Raw genomic sequence first — 24,515 nt, forward strand, 5'->3', positions numbered from 1 at the left:
GGCTTATTTTTAAATTGTTTTGTAGAGACGGGGCCTCACTTTGTTGCCCAAGCTATTCTCAAACTCCTGGCCTCAAGTGATCTTCCTGCCTGGGCCTCCCAAAGTGTTGGGATTACAGGTGTGAGGCACCCTATACCTGCCCTAGAAAACACTTTCAAAATACTGAACTCTGGATTGCACAGATGATCATGTAATAACCATGTAATAATTACTAAATAATTAATATTTAGAAGAATAAGCTTACTGATTCCATAATAACAAACATCAGATGATCTGCATCATTCTTCCCCCCATTCCTTCATATTTCTCCTGTCTTTTTTGGTCTCTGTGTGTCACCTATCTCTTGGTTTTTATATTTTTCACTTCTGACCATTTGCATATCTTTTTTGAATATGGATTCATCATGTACTTTTCTGCCTTTGTGCAGTCCCTAAGTAAGTGTGCTCAGCCTCCCATCAGCATGGTTTCCCTGTTCCCTTGCTTGACTGGCCATGAGTTCGTCAGCATGAGCAAGCTGTTCTGGGGATCCTGAATCATTAGTAGGAATCCATCTGGCTTCAGTTACTGCTTGGTTTTGAAAAAGTTCTCACAAAAAAATAAAAATAAAAAAATAAAAAGTACTCATGAAAACTGTCAGGTTTTATAAAAGACAGTGGCATTATTTGGCAAACGTAGTAAAGTACACAAATGATTTTTGGGAGTGCCTTTTCTTGGAAGTCAAATAATAAGAGAGAACCTAGGTTTGTGGATGACTATCTTTGCCATATATAATGACTACTTATCAATTACAAAGTAATAATCAAAAGGAATCTCATCCCCTACGAAATGTTTTAGGGCACTAAGTTTATTACAAATGCAGATAAACTAGACATATACAATGAGAACAATGGGCTAATCTAACTATAAATCCCTTTCTTTAATAGTTTAACTATAAGCCAATATGAAGAGCTGGAAGTTTAAGTTTCTTTGAGTTTTTGAAGTATGAGTTTAAGTCAAGGAAAGAAAAAAATTGAAAATATAAAAAGCATTTAATTTGGAGGGGCAGTAAGAGGTCAGGATCCGGTTGATAGGAACAATTCAATTTGCTGACATTAAACATTCCACCTTAATATGGAATTTACCATTGGGGAAATCATCATGATTTAGAGAAAATACAGTTTTTATATAAAAAGCAAAAACCCAAAACAGACATTAAAAAGCATTACAAATGTATTGTTAAAAATCGGTTTGTATTTATTGATAGTAAAATACATCAGATATGCATAAAGTAAACCATTCATTTTCTTTTCAAATATATGAATTAATCTGGGAGTGGACTAACATCTTCACACTATTCAGTCTTTAAACCCATGAACATGTTAAACCACTGTTTTTTAGATCTCTTTTTGTGTCTTTCAGCAAAGTTTTAAGTCTTGCCATAGGTTTTATTAAATTAATTCCAAAGTATTTTGTTTTTGATGCTATTATAAATAAAATTGTTTTTAAATGTTATTTTCCAGTTGTTTGCTACATTTGTATAGAAACAATTGATATTTTTATATTCACCTTGTGAATTCACCTTACTAAATTCACTTATTGCATTCAACTTTGTATAGTATATTCACCTTGCCAAATTCACTTAATTCTAATAATTGGTTCTCAGATTCCTTAAAATTATTGACACAAAATTCATTTTTAAATAAATAAAGACAATTTTAGTTCTTTCTAACCTAACTTTTATTTCTCTTTCTGGCCTTTTTGCCCTACGTAGGAACTCCACTATATTCAATACAATGATGAATAGAAGTAGGGAGAGTGAACATTCTTGACTTGAACGCAGTATTATGAGAACTTGCAGTATTTTACCATTATATAAAATACTAGCTGTAGGTTTTTCATTTATCTCCCTTATCAGATTGATGGAATAACTTTTAATTTTTAGCTTACTGAGAGTTTTATCATGAATGGGTGCTGATTTTTCTCAGATGCTTTTTCTGCATCCATTGAGTTTTTTTTAAGATTCTGTTAATATGGTAAATTATGTAGATTTAAATTTTTTATGTTAATTTTTAAATTGACAAATAATAATTGTACATATTTATGGGATACATAGTGATGTCTGATACATATAATGTATGGTGATGAGCTCAGGATAATTATTAATAGCGTATCCCTCATCTCACACATTTATCATTTCTTTTTTTTTGAGATTTTTTAAAATCTTTTTTTTATTATTATTATTATACTTTAAGTTTTAGGGTACATGTGCACAATGTGCAGGTTAGTTACATATGTATACATGTGCCATGCTGGTGTGCTGCACCCATTAACTCGTCATTTAGCATTAGGTATATCTCCTAATGCTATCCCTCCCCCCTCCCCCCACCCCACAACAGTCCCCAGAGTGTGATGTTCCCCTTCCTGTGTCCACGTGTCAGGGATCTAGAACGAGAAATACCATTTGACCCAGCCATCCCATTACTGGGTATATACCCAAAGGACTATAAATCATGTTGCCATAAAGACACATGCACACGTATGTTTATTGTGGCACTATTCACAATAGCAAAGACTTGGAACCAACCCAAATGTCCAACAATGATAGACTGGATTAAGAAAATGTGGCACATATACACCATGGAATACTATGCAGCCATAAAAAATGATGAGTTCATGTCCTTTGTAGGGACATGGATGAAATTGGAAATCATCATTCTCAGTAAACTATCGCAAGAACAAAAAACCAAACATTTATCATTTCTTTATGTTGCAAGCATTCATTACCTTCCTTCTAGCTGTTTGAAACTATACAATATATTGGGGGTTTTTTGTTTTGTTTTGTTTTGTTTTGTTTTTTGAGATGGAGTTTTGCTCTTCTTGCCCAGGCTGGAGTGCAATGGCATGATTTCGGCTCACCGCAACCTCCGCCTTCTAGGTTCAAGCCATTCTCCTGCCTCAGCTTCCCAAGTAGCGGGAATTAAAGGCATGCGCCACCATGTCCGGCTAATTTTGTATTTTTTAGTAAAGACGGGGTTTCTCCATGTTGGTCAGGCTGGTCTTGAACTCCCGAGCTCAAGTGATCTGCCCACCTCGGCCTCCCAAAGTGCTGGGATTACAGACGTGAGCCACTGCACCTGGCCGAAACTATACAATATATTGTTTACTGTAGTTATCCAACAGTGGTATAGAACACTAGGACTTATTCCTCCTATCTAGCTATAATTTTGTATCCTTCAACAAATCTCTCTCTATCCCTATCCCTCTTCCCCCTACCCTTCCCAGCCTCTAGTATCTTATGTTCTACTTGTATTTCTATGAGATCAACTTTTTTTTTTTTTTTTTTTTTTTTTTAGCTTTCACATAGGAGTGAGAACATGTGATGTTTAATTTTCTGTTCCTGGCTTATTTCACTTAATGTCTTCCAGTTCCAGTCACATTGCCATGAATAGCAGGATTTCATTCTTTTTTATGGCTGAATAGTACTCTGTTGTGTATCTATGCCACATTTTCTTTATCCATTCATCTGTTGTTGGACACCCAGGTTGATTCCATATCTTAACTATTGTAAATAGTGTTGCAGTCAACATGGTAGTGCAGACGTCTCTTCAATAATACTGATTTCCTTTTATTTACCTAAATGCCAAGTAGTAGGATTGCTGGATTATATGGTAGTTGTATTTGTAGTTTCTTTTCTTTTGGGGAACCTCCATACTGTTCTCCATAGTGGTTGTACTGGTTTACATTCCCACCAACAGTGTTTAAGAGTTCTCTTTTCTCCACATCCTCATCAGCATTTGTTATTTTTTGTCTTTTTGATAATAGCTATCATCCTAACTGGGGTGAGATGATTACCTCATTGTGGTTTTGATTTGTATCTCCCTGATGATTAATGATGTTGAGCATGTTTCCATATATTTGTATGACTTTTGGTCATTTGTATGTCTTTTGAGAAATGCCTGTTCAGATTATTTGCCCATTTTTAAAATCAGATTGTTGTTGTTGTTGTTGCTGTTGAGATATTTGAGTTCCTTGTATATTCTGGATATTAATCTCCTGTCAGAAGATTGGTTTTTGAATTTTAAATCAGCCTTACATTCCTCGGATATACCACTTGATAATAGTCTATTCTTAAATATGTCTGGATTCAATTTGATTTTTTTTGTAAATCTGTACTCATGAGGCTGATTTTCTTTTCCGTTAATATCTTTTCCAGGTTTTAGTATTAGGGTTTTGTTTGCCTAATAAAACACATTGGGAAATATCCTCTCCTATTTTCCTGAAAGTGTGTAAGATTGCTATTATTACTTCCTTAAATGTTGGATACAACTTACCTGTGATGCCATCTGGACCTGGAGTTTTGTTTTGTTTTTAATTACAAATTTATTTAATACATACAGTCTGTTTCTTTCTGTGGTTATTTTAATAAATAAAATAAAAAAATTAATTTTTTGAGATTTTTCATGTTATCTCAGTTACTGAATTGATTTTTATTACGTTGTTCAGAACACTATATTTGTATGATCTGTGGTGACATCCCTCATATTTCTAGTATTAGTAATTTGTGTTTTTAACTTTTTCTTGATCAATCTTGCTAAAGTTTTATCAATTTTTTACCTTTCAAAATAAAACAACTTTTAGCTTTAGTTTTTTTCAGTTGTCCATATTTATTCCATTGATTAGAATATTAAATGTATTATTTTTAGTTTATACCTATGATTTTAAACTTTTTAAAAATATATAAGCAGAGTATAGGCTGAGCGTGGTGGCTCATGCCTATAATCCCAGCACTTTGGGAGGCCGAGGCAGGTGGATCACGAGGTCAGGAGTTCAAGACCAGCCTGACCAACATAATGAAACCCCATCTCTACTAAAAATACAAAAAATTAGCTGGGCATGGTGGTGGGCATCTGTAATCTCAGCTACTCAGGAGGCTGAAGCAGGAGAATCTCTTGAACCTGGGAGGCGGAGGTTGCAGTGAGCAGAGATCGTGCTATTGCACTCCAGCCCGGGCGACAGTGCGAGACTCTGTCTCAAAAAAAAAAAAAAAAGTATGTGTGTGTGTATATATATATATATATATATATATATATATATATATATATATATATATATATATTCAGAGTATAAACGCAACTTCAGAGTCATTCAACAGATTTTGATGTCTTATGTTTACTTTATTGCAGTTTCACTTATTTTCTAATTTCCATTGCATTTTCTTCTTTCACTGTAGGTCATTAACAGGTATGTTGTCAAATTTCTACCTATTTAAGACTTTTCTGGATATGTTAATGGTTTCTAACTTAATTCCATAGTAGTGAGAGAACATACCCTTTAAGATTTCAATCTTTAGAAACGTGTTATATAAAAAATGGTTCACCATTTGTTTCATGTTGAGTAATATTTTCATGTGCACTTGAAAATAAATGTACATTTGCCAGTTGTTGGATGTACTGTTCTACGAGTGTTCATTTAGGACAAGCTAGTCATCACTCTTCTTCAAATCTTCTGTTTCCTTACTGGTTTTTAAAAATCTAGTTGTTTTATCTATTATTGAGAGAGGAATGTTAAAATCTTCAATGATATGTACAGATTTTTCTATTTCTCTTTTAAGTTCTGTTTATGCTTCATTTATTTTGAAGCTCTGTTATTATTTGCATAACTTATGATTCTGGCCGGGCATGGTGGCTCACATCTATCATCCTAGCACTTTGGGAGGCCACAGGAGGAGGATCACTTAAGCCTGGGAGCTCAAGACCAGCCTGGGCAAGACCCCATCTCTAAAACAATTAAAAATTTCTTTAAAATTCTGATTCTGTCTTCCTGATGCATTGGCTTTCTTAAGAAACTTCCCTTTTTATGTTTAGTTACATTCCTAGTCCTGAAGTCTACTTTCGCTGATATTTATATTGCTTTCTTATGTTTGCTGTTCGTGTAATATATTCTTTTCCATTTTTTAAACTTTCAGTCTATTTGTATGTTTATATTTAAACTATACCTCTTATTGACAGCATATAGTGTGGGTTTGCTTTTTCCCTAGTTTCCATCTTTTAATTGTAATGTTTAGTTATTTTATATTTAATGTAATTAATGTGGTTGGGTTTAAGATACCATTTGCTCCTTGTTCTTCTTTTCCTACTTTCTTGCCTTCTTTCGGGTTAACCAAACATTTTTTAGTAGAGTGCTAACAATTCCTGTTAACTTTTTAGCTATACTTTCTTATATTTTCAAATTCCTTTATAACCTTTTGAACACTACTCTTTTATAATTTTTAAGTGGATGCTCTAGGAATTAAAATATATATCCTTAATTTATAAATTTATTTGTAGTTAACATTGTAATACTTTATGTAAAATTTAAGAGCCTTGCAACAGTGTAATTGCATTTATACCTTTGTGCTATTATTGTAATATAATTAACATTTAATATATTATAAACTCCACAATATTTTATATATTTTAATATATTTTTGTATAATCACTTATCTTTTAAAGAAAATACATACTTCTTTTAAAGAATAAAAAGAATAAATACATCTTTTAAATAATAAAAAATACATAGTCCGTTTTATTTACCCTCATATTTATGATTTCTGATGCTTTTGCTTCTGTTTTGTAGATCTGACTTTATCTAGCATCATCTCCCTTTAGCCTGAAAAAGTTCCTTTAGTATTTCTTATATATTAATCTTAAAACAGATTATGTTTGGTTATATGAAAGTGTTTTTAATTTTGCCTTCAGTTTTTTGAAGGATATTTTTGCTGGATGTAGAATTGTGGGTTGATAGGGCTCCCCACCCCCCTTCAGCATTTTAATGGAAGAAATTATTCCATTATCTTCTTGCCTCTGTTGTTACCAATGAGAAACCAGTTACCATTTATATCTTTGTTTCCTTGTATGTGACGTGCTACCTTGCCCAAGCTAGTTTCAAAATTTTGTCTTAATTTTTTTTTAGCGGTTTGACTGGACTTTGCCAGAGTTGGTTTCTCTATATTTATTCTGAGTGGGATTTATTGAGACACTGGATCTGACAGTTTATTTTTCACCAAATTTTGGGAATTTTCTATCATTATTTCCCCATAATACTATTTCTGCCCCAGTGTCTTTCGCCTCTCATCAATTACATGCTTGGTATTGCCAGCAGATTACAGAGGGCGTGTGTGTGTGTGTGTGTGTGTGTGTGTGTGCGCGCGTGCGTATGTGTGTGTGTATGTGTTTTCCCCAGATTATAGTAGGGGTATGTGTGGTTGTGTGGTTTCTTTTCTCTTTCTTCTTCAGACTGGGTATTATTTTCATTTCAAGTTCACTGACTTGTTTTTCTGCTGTCACAAATCTGTTGTTAAGTCTGGCCAGTGAATCTTAGAATTTGCTATTGAAGGATCTAGCTCTTGAATTTCCATTTATTTCTTTCTCAGTTTCCATTTGCTGCCAGTATTTCTCATGTGTTTACCCATTATATGTATATAAATATATATATATATATATTTTTTAAAATCTTTAAACATATTTATAATAGCTACTTTCACATCTTTGTTAGGTGTTTCCAACACCTAAATCATCTTGTGGTGTGTTACTGTTGACTACCTTTTCTCCTGATCTGGAGTTACATTTTCTACCTTCTTTGCATGTTTAGTAATTTTTTATTGTGTACTGGATATTGTGGATGACATTGTGGATTGTTATCTCTTTTTGAAGAGTATTGATTTATCTTCTAGTAGACAGCTAAATTACTGGCTGGTAAACATACACTTAACTATACAACTCAGCAATTACAGTCCTGGGCATTGAAATGAAAACAAATGCTTTTACAAAAGCCTGTACAGAAATATTCATAGCAGCTTTTATTTGTAATAGCCGAAAACTAAACACAACCCAAATGCACTTTAAAGGACAAATGGTGAAAAAAACTGTGGCACAACTGTACCATGGAGCAATAAAAAGGAATGAACTATTGATACGTGCACCAAACTGGATGGATCTCAAGGGCATTATGCTGAGTGAAAAAAGCCAACTTGAAAAGATTCCATGCTATATGATTCAATTTATGTAGTATTCTCAAAGTGACAAAAATTATAGAAATAGGGAACAGATTGCAGTTGTCAAGAGTTAAGGAAAGGGGAAGGTGGATGTGATTATAAACAGCATGAAACAATTCAGCTGTGGTGATGAAGCAGTGAATCTCAATTGTGGTGTAGTTATATGTATCTGTACATGTGCTAAAATGTCATAGAATTGTAAAAAAGACATACAAAAAATGAGTGCATGCAAAAACTGGCAAAATTCAAGTAAGGTCTGTAATCTAGTCTACTCAATTTCCAGCTTTCTTTTAGCTCTGATCTACATTCTTTAATGCCTCAAGCCAATAAGACTGTGGTTTTCTCCTTTAAACCTAGCCTCTCTGCACTTAAGTGGGAGTACTGGGAAGAGTTCCGAGTTCCCTTCCAGGAGAGTCTCATAAGTGTGTATCTCACCCAGTGTAATTCCTTTCTTTCAATGATCAGAACCCCTACAATTTCTGTCTGCCTTGGTCACTTTCCAATTTCTTCAAACAGTTGTTTTTTATATTTTGTCCAGAGTTTATAACTGTTAACTGTGGGCAAATTAGTTCGATATAAGGTAGTTCATCATTACTAGAACCAGAGCTCAACTAACATCTTTTTGAAGTTTTACAAACATAAAATGTTTATAAACTTTTTCAGTTAGAAATTTGAAGACAAAATATTATAGGAGTATTACATAAGTAAATAATTATGTGATAACTGAAAACATGAAAAAAATCAGAATTTATAAGTAGGAAGAAGGATAAATATACAAATGCAGCCAGAAACAACTTTTAAAAGACATGTAAATGAGTCTTTCAGAAGTTTACAGATAGATGCAATTATGTATTACCTAAGCAGCATTCTCAAATAGGAGTATATACTTAATCACCAGAAAGGACTTAAGCTGTAAAATGAGATCTTTATTCATTGTCTTTTGGAAATATTTTTCCATTTCACTCTAAAAGTTGCATTTTTTTTTCTTTTTCTAGCATATCTGACCTTTATTATTTATTGGAGAATAAAATGGCAATCTAACGTCCCTTCTGCTTTTATTTTTGTCTTTTTATTCTAGTTGTTTATATAATTGGCCTTAAATGAGGTGAGAGTGAAGAGACTAGAGCCATCTCTGGAAAACATCATTATCCCATTCCCCGGGAAGCTACCCTCTGGAACTCAAGATTTGACCATATCTGTTTTGAGGATTCATTATGAACAAAGAAGTCTCCCAGGTAGGAATTGTAGTTCTATTTTTAAAGAGCTTTGTCTCTGCAAAAGTATGGAAGGAACATGATTACCTGTTGACTGTTATCTTTTATGGAAATATGTGTTTGATCTGGGTTGCTTCAAGGTTAGTGTAAAACAGGTGCTCACATTCCTAAGTGAAAATGATAGGAAAGTTCTAGGATACACTTTATGAAGCTATTTTAGTGTATGTCGAAATCACTTATGATGAGACCCTCAAAGTCCTTACTGAATTGAAAATGGCAGCAGAAACTGTAGTAAACCATCTCCAGATTTGCTTCATATATTTCTAACATATATCCAGTTAATTTTATACATATATGCATAAAATTACATAATATATACCTATATAATTATAGGTATACCTGTATAATATATAGGTAATTGTAGGTATACCCATATAATATATACCTATGTAATTTATGTGTATGTAGTGTCCATATGGGCATTTTTACATTGTTGCTGTTTGAGTTTGTGAGCTAGCTGAATAGAACCAGTATATCCGTGAACATACTAATGGGAGCAGTAGAAAAATAAACATGTACCAAGCCAAGACAGTAGATAAAAGAGTTGAAGAGTGATCAGAAACTGATAAATCAGTAAGGGAAAACTTCCAGGAGAAAATTTGTTAATTAATAGACTTGTAATTGAATTATACATAGATAAAAATAAAAAATTATAAGCATATAACTTTTTATTTATTATGTACTGAACATATTTGTGTAAACATCGCCTGGGTTAAGAAGTAGAACAATACCACCACCCCAGAAATCCTCTTCATCCATGTGTCCCAGCTGCACGCCCATTCACTTTTAAAGGAGGCGACAGTTGTCACTATGGAGAGTGATACCTGTCAACCTAGAGTGTGGGGTTTTATAGATCACTGAAGTTAAAGGCAGTAAAATTTAGTTGGCCAACAATGCCTGTGTTTGGAATTAACAATGAGTTTGGAAGTTGGAGGCAAAACTCTCAGTTGGCAGAGAGCTTTAATGCAAGGACTGGAGGTACAAAATTATTTAAGAAGATATTCATCTAATCTTACTATCTCTGCCTCTTTAAAATTGCATCAGTTTTGGCCAGGTGCTGTGGCTCACGCCTGTAATCCCAGCACTTTGGGATGCTGAGACGGGTGAATTATGAGGTCAGGAGATTGAGACCATCCTGGCTAACAAGGTGAAACCCCGTCTCTACTAAAAATACAAAAAAAAAAAAAAAAAATTAGCCAGGCGTGGTGGTGGGCGCCTGTAGTCCTAGCTACTCGGGAGGCTGAGGCAGGAGAATGGCGAATGGCGTGAACCTGGGAGGCGGAGCTTGCAGTGAGCAGAGATCGAGCCACTGCACTCCAACCTGGGTGACAGAGCGAGACTCCTCTCAGAAAAAAAAAAAAAAAAAAAAATTTCATCAGTTGCTAGAGCAAACACAACTCTTTGTTTCTGGCTTTTATTAACTGATGATACATTTGTATTTACACGTTGAGTGCCCCATATCTGAAATGCTTGGGACTAGAAGTGTTCCATATTTTGGATTTTAAAATATTTGCAGTATACTTATCAGCTGAGCATCCGAAATCTGAAATCCTATATGCTCCCGTGAGCATTTCCTTTGAGTATCATCAGATTGTGGAGCATATCGGATTTTGGACTTGGGATGCTCAACCTGTATTAATTTATGTTTTCTGTTGTTTCCAATCAGGACTGTTGGTTCTCCCTAAGGAGCAATAAATGAATTAAGTATTCTGATTAAAAAAGAAAGTTTTGCTGAGTAGGATGTATTATAATAAAGAGAAATTTTAATTAAGTAGGAGAGCCATCTCTTTAAGAGTTTTCAGGAAAGTAATGTTAGTACCTCGACTTTATGAAAGAGAAAGGAGGAGAAAATTGATAGAATAATGCAGTGACTGAACATTAGCTTGGTGTCTGTCTTTCCTCATTGTTCAGTGAGTGACTCTAAGAAAGTCATTTTCCTCATTATAATGACATTTTTCATCTTTTCTATTTCTTCTTAACATTAAAAACAATTTCAAATGTACCAAATAGTTACAAAATTGCTAGACTGAACACCTGCATGCCCATTGCCCAGTTTCACCAATTATAAACATTTTATGGAATTTGCTTTATCTCTCTCTGTATTTACTTTTCCTTTTCCCCTTCCCCCTCTACCATTACGATGACAATGATGAACCATTTGAGAAAAAGTGGTAGACAATCATGATCCTTCACTCTAAAATATTTCCTACTTAACCACAATATAATAATCAATTCAGGAAACAACATTTTTTATTGCTGTTATCTAATATATAGTTCACATTAAAATTTTACCATTTGTCTGATTCACAATCATAGATTGCATAGTTGTCACATTTGTTTGGTTTCCTTTAACCTGGAATAGTTTATTAGCTTTTCTTTGTTTTTCATAGTAGGGCCTTCCATGATAGTGACATTGGAGAAGAGTACAGGTCAGCTATTTTGTACAATGGTCCTCATTTCAGGATTGTCTGTTTCCACCTATTTCCTTCCTAAAAAGGCTGTGATAGGGGATGGAGATTCATGGATTTTTCTTTTTTCTTCTTTCTTTTTTTTTTTTTTAATGAAAAGGTTATCTTAAATAACAAAGTCTACAAAGAGTTTTCAGGATAAAGTCTGTTGGAACAAAGGAAATCTAGAAACTAGAATCACTAAGATAATTTAGGTGTTATTGAAAGGAATTATACACACATACACACACACACAAATTGTAGGACCCAAGATTTATAAACTTTGGAACAAAAATTAGGGTTTGCAAAAGCAGAACTTTTGATTTTGATTGAACAGTGCATTTTATTTTAAAGTCCTTGACATCTTATAAGAAATAATTGGTTTTATATTATAACGTATGATAGAAGGTAAGTCACGATTCGCTATATGAATAACTTTATTTTCATGTGATGTTTGGACTAAGGATAGAAAAGATTCTTTGTTTATATGTTTGAGTACCTTGTATACTACCTAGTTTTTAGATGTGGTATATTTTAATGTCACCTTTTCTGTAAGGCTCTTACTGGATATATTAAGGAAATATTTTGATGTGGAGGCCAAAGCAAAAGATTGGGGCTATATTGATGGGTTTTCTATTTATTAGTTATGTGACTGTAGGTTAGTGATATAACTTAAAGCGTATGCAAATTCTGGAACCAGATTACCTAAGACCGATTTCTTCCTCTGCCGCTTAAGTTGTTGAGCAGATTAAGTAACTTGTCCATGCCTCAGTTTTCTCGTCACTAACATGGATTATAATATTACCTACCTGATGTTTTATGAGTAAATGAGTTAGTAAGGTTTATGAGGGAATTAATTAACATAGGTTAGGTGCTTAGAACAGTGATAGGCACATGGTAAATCTTACATAAGTGTTAGTATTCATTATCATCATCATCAGAGCATAATTTATTAGTATGATAAAACTGTCAAAATGGAAATAATAATGTATACTTCATAGGGCAGTTGTGAGAAATAAGTGAATTAATGCATATAAAACATATATTACATGCTCAATATATATATAATGTCATATCCTTTAGATGCATATTAATGGGCTTACATTTTAACTTGTAAACTTTTTATTATTTTGTTTCTCTCAAATTATTTGTTACTATTGACTTTATAATGTGAAAGTGGCAACTGGAAGGGTAAGCATGCTTATACCACTGAAGTGGCCTATAGTCGAAATATTTGAGAAGTACTGTACTGGGTGACAATTGCAGGGGTCCTTATTCTAAAAATTTAAAAGTCTGCATCTCCAGTTTAAAATGTGTGAGCATTCTTTTTATTGTTATTATTCTGTTTGTTATCATAATTATTATTCTATTGAGAACCCCGGAAAATGGAATTTGAGTTTCACTTGTTCCAAGTTAGTCTTTAGCTGGTCGTTGCAGCAGAAGGAATATAGCTAGCCACATTTAGTGTTAGCATTAAGAGGATATTGATGCTATTTAACCAGCCATTTACATGAAATGCTTGGGATTTTTTTTTTCATTTTTCAGTGGATATCAATAAAATATTGCCGAATATAAATGAATCAAGTAAGATGACTTAGGTTTTAAGCTGGACTTTACAAAATGCATATCTTTTCTATAAATGTGGTCAGTGAAGATTGGCTCATATTGTGATTTTTTTTTTTTGAGACGGTGTCTCACTGTGTCGCCCAGGCTGGAGTGCAGTGATGCAGTCTCAGCTCACTGCATCCTCCGCCTCCCGGGTTCAAGCAGTTCTCTTCCTCAGCCTTCCAAGTAGCTGGGATTACAGGCATCCGCCACCACACCTGGCTAATTTTTGTATTTTTAGTAGAGACGGAGTTTCACCATGTTGGCCAGGCTGATCTCGAACTCCTGACCTCATGATCCACCCGCCTTGGCCTCCTGAAGCGCTGGGATTACAGGCGTGAGCAACTGCACCCAGCCCTCATATTGTGATTTTATCTGTGCCCTTTCCCTTTCAGGTTGGGAGGGTGACCCTGAAGTTAACCGGAGGTTTGTCTGACTTAATCATTTTATAACACCCTCAAAATACAATTCCATTATTTTGGTCAATTATTTTGACTCATTTGGCTCTATGACTTTGGTACTTCTTCTACCATATACCATTAAAGAACAGATTTTAGTGTATTTATTTTTCTTTTATTGGTGTAGATATATATATTTAACTATACTGTATTCTGAAATGGGTTTCTAAAATAGTTGATCAAAATTGAATAGCTTCTGATCTGGGACTGAATTCTTTATTTTAGATATTGAAGTAATTTTTTGTGTAAATGTAGTTATTTGATTTTGGATAATCATTTGTGGATTATCTGTATCTAATGCAGATCTTCATTTTCTTTTGGTTCTGGCTTCTAGCTGTTTTTCTGCCCACTATTATCTGAATCTCTGAAAGAGGTTAGTAAAAAGAGGCAGACATTTAAAATTTTTTTTAATTTTTATTTATTTATTTTATTTTTTTAAAAAGAGACATAGTCTGTCTGTGTAGCCAAGACCACACTTGAATTCCTGGCTCAAACAATTCTCCCACCTCAGACTCCTGAGTAGTTGGGATTATAGACACATGTTACTGCACCCAGCAACACTGAAATTTTTATCACTCAGTTTTGTCTGTGCAAATGACAAAGCAAAATGATCATTTACTTTTTTAAGGCTGCTTCTGCTAAACTCTTATAAAACTCTTTTGTACGCCTGCAAGTAAATATTAAATACTTATATTCTTGTTTATACCAGCTGAAGATAGCTATAGTTAGGACGACTGATTTTTCCTCAAGAAATACCAACACAAATTAAAGTGGATTTTGGAAGACATGTGCAGTATACCTGCATAACTCTATGTCACTCTTAAGATAACTGGATTCATAGTTTCATAAGGAAATGTTGAGTTATTTTGCTAATTTGTTCTAATAAGATAGCTGCCACAAATATGTGATACAATGCTATTTTCCCTCAGTCGTGAATATACTAGGAATATTTTAATAAGGCAAATGTTTATTCTTCATCTTAAAATTAAATTTTAAATGAAGCCAATATGAGGAAAATATTAGGTTTTAAAACTAATTTGGTTTTCCTTTTTCTATGTATTTGTTAATAGAAAACAAAATAAACTTTTCTTTTTTCAAACTTATTTGTATTTAGAAAAATTAATGCAAAGAAAAAAAGCATTGTCGCTTAGTCTGTGGAATAAGCTTTTAGTGGTAAACACAGACGTATTAAATATATTGTTTCAAACATTAAGATACATTTAGAGGGCAAGTTACCAAATCCTTGATAATGTCTTTATTATTAGCATAATAAATTTAAAAGACTGCACAGGATTCTCTTTTACAAAAAGCACTATAAGAAAAATCTAGTATTTTATAGTAGAATATGAAATAAGATTAAATGGTGTTTTGATTTTTAAGAATTCATTGATTGCTTTGAATCCATTTATTTGATTTTGCTTTTTATTCTTGGCCATAATGGTTAAGAACGTTGGCAGTGATTTATGGTAGAAGCTTAGGGGAGCAGGGTCTCTTCTCTGGGCCAAGGATAACTACCATCTCAATTTGGGCCCTGGCATTGTGGATTTTGAGAGAACTTTTGTTTCCAGGGATTTCAGGAAATCCCTACCCATTCAATTAGCTTCAAAATATCTAGTATTCAACAAAAATTAGGAGGCATGCAAAGAAACAAAAATATTTGGCCCATATACAGGAAAAATAACAATCAGTAGTATCTGTCCCTAAGGGGGCCAGACATTGGACCTATTAAAGAAGAAAAAGTAGATAAGTTGGACTTCATTAAAATTAAAAACTTTTGTTCATTAAAGAATACTGTAAAGAAAATGAAAAGAGAAACCACAGAATTGGAGAAAATCATCTGTAAGTCATATATCTGATAGGGGTCTAATACCCCGAATGTAAAGCACTCTTATGACTCAATAAAAAGACAAGTTAAACCCAACCCAAAATCCTACAACTCAATAGCAAGAAAACATATAACCCAGATAAAGATCAGGCAAAGGACCTGAAAAGATATTTCTTTAAGGATGACATAAAAATGGCCAACAAGTATATGAAAGTTGCTCAACATCATAAAATGATCAAGGAAATGTAAGTAAAAGCCACTTTATCACCTCACATCTACCAGCTATTAGGATAGCTGTTACAAGTTGAGTATCCCTTATCAAAAATGTTTGGGGGACCAGGATTGTTTGATATTTTGGATTTTTATGGATTTTAGAATATTTGCATTATACTTACCAGTTGAGCATCGAAAATCTGAAATGCAGAATGCTCCAATGAGCATTTCCTTTGAGTGTTATGTTGGCATTCAAAAATTTTTGGATTTTGGATCATTTTAGGTTTGGGATTTTTAGATTTGGGATGCTCAACCTGTATCAAAAAGACAAAAGATAACAAGTATTGGCAAAGGTGTTGAGAAAAGGGAACCCATGTACCCTTTTGATGGGAACTTAGAATGGAGCAGCCATTATGAAAAACAGTATAGATACTCCTAAGGAAATTAACATATGACTCAGAATTAACATATGACCCAGCAATACCTTTTCTGGGTATATACCCAAAAGAGATGAAATCAGCTCATAAAGCTGTCTGCACTCCCATGTTCATTGCAGCATTATTCACAATAGCTGAGACATGGAAACAACCTAGGGGTTGCTCAGTGGACAAATAGATAAAGAAGTTGTAATATATATATGCAATGGAATATTATTCAGCCATTAAAAAGGAGGAGATCCTGCCATTTGCCACAACATAGGTGAGCCTGGAGGACATTTTGCTAAGTGAAATAAGTCAGACACAGAAAGAAGAATATTGCATAATCTCATTTACATGAGGCATCTTTAAAAACAAAGGCAAATATACAGAGATAGAGAATAAAACATTGCCATAGTGGGGAAAAATGGGTAACTATGGGAGATGATGGATATGTTCATTTGTTCATTTACAATAATAATATAACCATCATAATATATATAATAACCATTTTACTACATATCCTCATCTCATGACATCATGTTGTAAATCATAAATATACACAGTAAAATTTAGTTTTTAAAAAATAGGCAAAGGAGCTGAATAGACACATCTCCAAATAAGACATACAAATGGCCAATGAGTGCAAGAAAAGATGCTTGGTGTCATTAGTGATTAGGGAAATAGAAATCAAAACCATGAGATACCATTTCACACCCTCAAGGATGGCTGTAATTTTTTAAAGACAGGAAATAACTCTTTATTTGGTGAGGTTGTGGAAAACTGGAACCCTTGTACATTACTGGTGGGAATTTTAAATGGTGTAGTTACTGTGGAAAACTGGCTTTGATAATTCCTCAAAAAGTTAAAGAGTTACTGTATAACCTAACAGTTCCACTCCTAGTTAAATACTCAAGAGAATTAAAAACATGGCCACATAAAAACTTGTACATAAATGTTCACAGCAGCATTACTGATAATATTCAAAAAGTGAAAACTACCTAAATATCCATCCACTGGTGAATGGATAAACAAAATATGGCATCTCCAAACAATAGAATATTATTCAATTATTAAAAAGGCAGTGAAAATCCTGAAGTCCCTATCCTTCCTTACCACATGAGAAAGATTTTGGTTGTCATTGAAATGAACAGCTAAAATGAAAACTTGTTTCAAAGACCCTTACGTGTCTTAGGACTCCAGTTTGAGAAACATTTTTTTGGAAATTACCTAGTTCAGATCTCTATTTATCATGTTTTTCCTGTGTGATGCCCTTCATACAACTATTAACTTGGGGATATTTAGCTCTCAGAGTATCCTTCTCACTATATATAAATGCTTCTTCGTGCTAACTGCCTGCTAAGCATTTTTAAATATATTATTAGAAATGTTTATTAACTAATTGGCAGGGACTTTTTAAAATTATGCAGTTCTCAGCTAAATCCAAGAAATGAATGACAGATTTCTTATGTAGAAATTTAAATTCAACTGAATTATAAGGCACAGTTCTATTTCTTTAGCCTTCACCTGTTTGGTTTAGTCTGGTACATTTGAACAGAGATAAATGTAGTTTCTAGTTCCTAAAACTACTCTCTAGAGATTGCATAAGATTGGGTATAATTTAGCAACTCTTTTTAAATCAACAGGGTACTTTTACTTAGAAACCTTACCTCTTTTTAAATAGTGATATGCAAATTGGTTTCCTGAAACCAGCATTTATTTTCTTAATGATTCTTATTTAAGTACCCTGACTGCGAAATACAAAGCCATTTCACATAAATACAACTGTAATAGTTTTTCCTCATGAGAAGTTTTACATTGCCTTGTTTATTGTGTTTTGTAAACAGGAAGCAGTTAATACCAGAATCATACTATCAGCAAATTATGGGTGACTGTCTCATAGCTCTTCAGCTCTTGGCTCTTATTTCAGTAGGCCAGCCTGTCTGGCTGCTGTTGTTTGTTGTTTGCTCTCCCTAGCCCCAGAATCTCAGATATAGCAGTTGTGAATCTCCAGCTAGTAGTCTAAGGGTAGTACATATGGGAATCTTGCTTTAGATCCAGAGGTATTTATTACTCAAAATTATTCAATCTGTGAGATTGTATTATTCAGATCATGTAACTGCAGCATGGCTTGGGTTTGTAGTACTGTGAAATATCACGGGTTGTTTTTTTACAAAATAATAGATCTTTACTTTTTCAAAATTAGAATATTCCCTAATTTCTAGACCAAGAAGGCAGTTTGCTGTTTTTTTCCCATTGAAAGACAATAAGGATTTTAAGAAATTTCATGTTTCTCAATTATAAGAAATAATTTCAAAGATTTTAAAAATATTTCAGAAAATATTTAACCATACAAATTAAATATCTTTGTTTTAGAAATCTTAAATGTTGTATTAGTAAGATAGGTTAATTGTTTTTAATTCATCACCTATTTATTTAGTTTCTCTATCCTTTAGGTATTGTGTTAGATATTGGATATACAATAAAAAGATCTAATAACTGGCTTTGAGTTCACAATCCCAAAAGGGAGACAAAATAATTGTAACTTATAGCACATTGTAATAAAAAAACATAGGCCCAGGATTATTTTGAGAACAAGTAGAATTTCAGATGGATAAATTCTTAGATGGACATAACCTAATTTCATTGGAGGCCGAAAAGATGAGCAGCTAAGGAAACAAAAAATGGCCCCTGAACATGAAGTAAGCGTTAGCCAACTCTTTTCTTTTGAATTGGGCAAATTCTAAAGTCATGTCTTTCAACTTCCTTGTTCAGCATTTTCTTCTCTCTTTTGTTTCTACTTTTGTAGAAAAGTTTAGAATTGATGCTTCATTATTACAAATTTATTGCATTATTTCATTTTTGTATTACTAAATTTTAAAATACATTTTATTTATATGAAATTATATGACTTCTTTACTTATGTGAACTTTGGTTAATCTTATTTATGCTTCTGTGAATCTCTGCAGGAAAACAAGGTGTATATTTTGTTAGTTCCAGTAATACAATGGACTGATTATTTTTATTTTGTGTTTGAGTTTTAGAATGGATGGTAACAAAACCATGTTGGTCTTTTGACTTTGTTTTGTGGTGGCTGTTGCAAGTCTGGTATATTTGCCTTGCATTGGGGTTGTTCATATTAAATTGTAAATTTTGCAAAGGCCAACTAGGCTTCTATATTTTCCTTATTGTGTGTTCCTTCCTCTCCAGTCACCCCCATAGAAGGTTTAATAAATTGTTTTTTAAGACATTAATCTGTAATGCAGTTCATCTCATTTATCATTAACAGAAATCTGAAATTTAAAAGTATATCATTTTTTATACATGTTTAATTTGAGGTGACAGTGGGATATCCAAATGAAAACATCCAGTTAACAAGTGGACATTCAGATACCAAATTACTAAGATGAGAAAGATTGTGGACATTCAGATACCGGATTACTAAGATGAGAAAGATTGTACTTACTCTTCACAGAGGAAGTCTTAGAATAAAAGTCAAATCCTATCATCCTTCTGTTGTTAATCCTCCAGTGACTGCCTCAGTCACTGGGACTTAGTCCTTGCAATGACTTTTAAGACCTTACATGGTATAGCCTCCTATTATCTCTCTGAACTCGTCACTTACTCCCCCATCCCCCAGGTTCTAGCCATGCTCACCTCTTTCATGTTTCTCAAAAAGCAGTTATGCTCCTGCTTTAAGGTCCTTCTACCTCCCCTTGCCAGAAGCACCCTTCTTCCATTTATCATTCTCTTGGCTGTCTCTCCCTTACCCCCTTCTTACCTTTGTTCATATCTCTCACTTTTTCAGTGAATCCTTTCCTAATTACCTTACTTGCTTCCCTTCCACTTCCACATACCTAAGCCTCTGTTTTTGCTTTATTTTTCTCCAGAGTAAGTATTATAACTTACTTTTTAATTTTATGTGTTGTTGTCTCTGTCACAATAGAATGAAACTTAATGAGGACAGTTATTTTGTAAATTTTATTCACTGCTCTATCTCTAGTGCGTAGAACAGAGGTTGGCATATGGTAAGAGCTCAGTAAATATTTGCAGCTAATTTAAATTGGTCTTCTCCCACACTGAGATCAATTTAAAGTTTTTTGGCTAGTATTTACCTTTTTGTCTAATATTTACCTTTGCTGAGTACATATTACCAAGGATTTTATTTTTAAAGTCTTTTCTTGAAGTTGAAACTAAAGTTAACATATATAATCTATATGCTTGTATATACAGATGATATATATAACATAATTTTATTTATATGTAGATCATATAGTAATATGCAATACATAATACATGGCATATATAATCTATGAACACTTGATTGGACTGTCATTTAGTAATTCATTCACCAGATCCTATAATAGACTCACACAATAGGTGAGAGCAGATGCAAACTTTATATATTATGTTTAGGAGATTGGATGTTGTCCTATGGGCATTGAGGATTTAGTGAAGGGTTTTAAGTAAGAGATTGACATGATTAGATATACACTTGGTAGCCTACTCTGGTGGGTCTGCAGAGGATAAACTTAAGGAGGACAAGACCGGAAACAGGGAGAAGCTATTTGGGAAGCTATTTTAGTAGTCCAGCAAAAGAGTTAAATGAGAACCTGAATTGAGATCTTGGTAAAGGAGAATATGAAGAAAGGATGGATTTTGGAAATATTTAAGAAGTAATGGCCGGGCATGGTGGCTCACGCCTGTAATCCCAGCACTTTGGGAGGCCGAGGTGGGCAGATCACTAGGTCAGGAGATCGAGACCATCCTGGCTAACATGGTGAAACCCCATCTCTACTAAAAATACAAAAAATTAGCCGGGCATGGTGGCAGGTGCCTGTAGTCCCAGCTACTCGGGAGGCTGAGGCAGGAGAATGGCGTGAACCCGGGAGGCGGAGCTTGCAGTGAGCTGAGATCCCGCCACTGCACTCCAGCCTGGGCGACAGAGCGAGACTCCGTCTCAAAAAAAAAAAAAAAAAAAAAGGAAGAAGTAAAAACTGACATTTGCTTGCATGCAGGATATGAGAGAAGAGGCTAGAATGACTGCAGTGTACCAACTGAGACAAGAAATACATGAGAAGGAAATAGGTTTATAGAGAGACTTTGCCCAAGGACAGGCAGGTAGTGTTTAATCCAGGATTTAAACAAAGTTTTTCTGGCCCCAAAGCCCATGCTGGTTTTTTGTTTTGTTTTGTTTTTGCTTTTATTATTATTTTTAATTGTTGCATAATAATTGAACATATTTATAGGGTACAGTGTGATACTTTGATACATGTGTACAATGTGTGTGATCAAATCAGAGTAATTAGCATGTCCCTCACGTCAATCATTTTTCATTTCTTCGCATTGGGAACATTCAAAATCTACTCTTTTTGCTATTCGAAAATAAATTGTTGTTAATTATAGTTACCTACAATGCTATAGAACACTAGAACTAATTTCTCATATTTAGCTATACTTTTGGATCTGTTAAACAACCTCTGGCTATCCTCTCCTCCTCACATCCTTCCCAGCCTCTAGTAACCACTATTCTGCTATCTACTTCTATGAGATTAACTTCTTTAGTTTACACATGAGTGAGAATATGCAGTGTTTGTCCTGTGGCTGGCTTATTTCACCTAGCATGATGCCCTCCAAGTTTGTCCATGTTGCCATGAATAACAAGATTTCATTCTTTTTTGTGGCTGTCTGGTATATTTCACTGTGTATATATACCACATTTTCTTTACCCATATATCTGTTGATGGACACTTAGGTTGATTTCATATGTTGGCTTATTGTGAATACTGCCACATAAATATTGGAGTGCACATATCTCTTCAACATACTGATTTCATTTCCTTTGGACATATGCATATTTGTAGGATTGCTGTATCAGATATATAGTAGTTCTATTTTTAGTTTTTTGAAGAACCTCCATGCTCTTTTCCAAATGGCTACGCTAATTTACATTCCCACTAAAAATGTATACGAGTTCCCTTTTCTCTTCATTTCTTCCCGGCACGGAAGCCCATCCTTTTAACTACCATGTTGCAGTAGGCAAATCTAGTTGACTCCTTATCAGGGAAATGAGACCTTGAAAATGATACTTAAGCAGGGATGCTTTTGCTGCTGTTTATAGGACAGATTAGAAGTGAGAATGACTAGAATTGAGAAGCAAGATTAAAGGATCTTGCATTAATCTACAATTAGGTATTTGGTTCCAAATGAGGATTATAACTGTATCTGGGAATGAAGAAGGAAGAGACAATCTTGTTAAGGAAAAATTAGCAGGATCTGAATGCCAGTTAGAAATGAGTAAAAGAGAAGAATAAAAAATTGTAAAATTATGATCCTAAGAGTTGGAAATTTTCATAAATAGCACTTCTAATATGGAGAAATTGAAAATGTGCCTTTTTGGTTGCATGAAATAATAAGTTCATGATTAAAATGTTAGGGATTATTTGTACACCAAAAAATATGACAGTCATTAATCTTCAGAAAAGGGCTAGAAGCAGAGTCAGTTTTAAGACTAGAGAAAAGGGTTTACTCAGACATACCAGTTAAAGCCATGTGAGAGATTCTCAGCATTCTTTATAATAAAGTTTTTCAGTATGGCTGCTAACATACAGTGCTGTAGTTTAATAATTTAGAATTTAAGGAAAAGCTAAAGGTTCTCCCATTTAACAAGAATTTTCTTTCCTTTTATAAGGGTAGATGGAGTAAAAGAGAATGGTGAAGTGTGTTGTTTGGCACTAATAAAATCCAAAAGGTAGTGATGATTGTAAGACCAAGGATAGGATTCTGAGTTTCATTAGGGATTATATGGAGAATAATGGTTGATGAGGGACAGATCAGCAGGGATCTTTAAGTGCAGTTGCTAACTGGTGCAACATGTGAGAGACCTGGCTGGTGTGCTAGGCGGAATGACTTTGTGTTCTCTGGGATCTATACCAAGATCCTAACATAGACTAAACATTTGATCTTTGTTGCCTGACTACATAAACAAAAGGTTAGGAGTATAGAACTCACAGCGTACAATTCAAAATCTAAATCTAGTTTATCACTTTAACTTAATTATGTATGTACTATTTATCTTCCTATCAATATAAAATCCCAAACCTTATGAGTGAAAGTTATTTTAAATTCTTTTGAAAAGCAGCTTCTAAATAATAAATGCAAAGAATAATTTCTCTGACTCCAGTTCAACATTCGGCTTCTACATTTACACGTGAAAATGATTATTTTCTCTTTGGAAAAAAAAATCTCAGTATCTATTTAATTATTCTAACCATGTTTTCATCCTAATTGGTTGTAACAATTTCACAAAGGATTATTAATTTTATTTTACAGATGTAGAAAAGAAAGTATAGAAACACTATCTGATGACCTCTGTACTTTTATGTAGATCTTCATGTTTTTATGATGGCTGTAATTATCTATTCATTGATATAGCACAATTTTTAGAAATTTTCTAACAGAGGGGAGCTTCCCTACCTTTATTTGGTTGGAAAGGTCATAAGGGTAGATTTCTTACTGTTGTCCTTCCTGTTTAGGTGTGAAGTTTTTCAACATGAGTGGCCTCGGGGACAGTTCATCCGACCCTGCTAACCCAGACTCACATAAGAGGAAAGGATCGCCATGTGACACACTGGCATCAAGGTAGGAACACTCCTCTTAGTCTATTTTTGGCAGAGCTGCTTTATTACTTTCACTGCCACTTCAGAGCTTTTGTTTAATCTACTCCAAGTTCAGTGGCTTTCTTTGAGTCTTTCATACTCACCATGTTGTCTTCCTTCCCCCAGGGTCTTTGCACATGTTTCTCCCTCAATCCAGCTTGCTTCCTCTTGATTTCCTTTAGTTAACACCTACTCATCCTTCAGATGCCAGCTTAGTCATTACATACTTAAAGAGAGCCTTCTCTTCCTTCCATAACTGTTAGATCAAGTTCCTCCATTCATGTATCTGTCTCAGATGTTTTTATAGCCATGATCCATAATTGCAGATTTTTACTAGTGTGATTATTTCATGAATTTCTGGCTTCCCCGCTAGACTCTAAGCTGCCACTTGGTAAAGGACCTTGTTTGTTCTTGCTCATCATTGTATCCTTAGTTCCTAAAACAGTGTGTGGCTTATATATAGTAAGAACACAGTAAAGATTTGTCAAATGAATATATAAATCTATTATACACCTTTAATTGCTATCTTAGAACATTATGGCATTAATGGAGCTAAGAAATATCAGGATTTTAAAAAATGATTGTGTAGTTAAATATTTGGTTTGTTA

The 24,515-nt window shown here is 33.9% G+C and overlaps 1 protein-coding gene across 15 annotated transcripts in view; it reads left to right on the forward strand.

Annotated features, from left to right (window-relative positions):
• The window catches only part of NCOA1 (nuclear receptor coactivator 1), a 279,449-nt gene that overhangs the window by 143,623 nt on the left and 111,311 nt on the right, over window positions 1-24,515 (forward strand). For all 15 annotated transcript variants that reach the window (XM_047446155.1, NM_001362950.1, NM_003743.5 and 12 more), the window contains 2 exons: window positions 9,090-9,246; window positions 23,785-23,890. In XM_047446155.1, the coding sequence (XP_047302111.1) occupies window positions 23,802-23,890 (89 nt within the window). In that variant the 5' untranslated portion in view covers window positions 9,090-9,246; window positions 23,785-23,801. The remainder of the gene's footprint in view (window positions 1-9,089; window positions 9,247-23,784; window positions 23,891-24,515) is intronic.

Source organism: Homo sapiens, chromosome 2 (genome assembly GCF_000001405.40).
Source record: "Homo sapiens chromosome 2, GRCh38.p14 Primary Assembly".
NCBI lineage: Eukaryota > Metazoa > Chordata > Mammalia > Primates > Hominidae > Homo > Homo sapiens.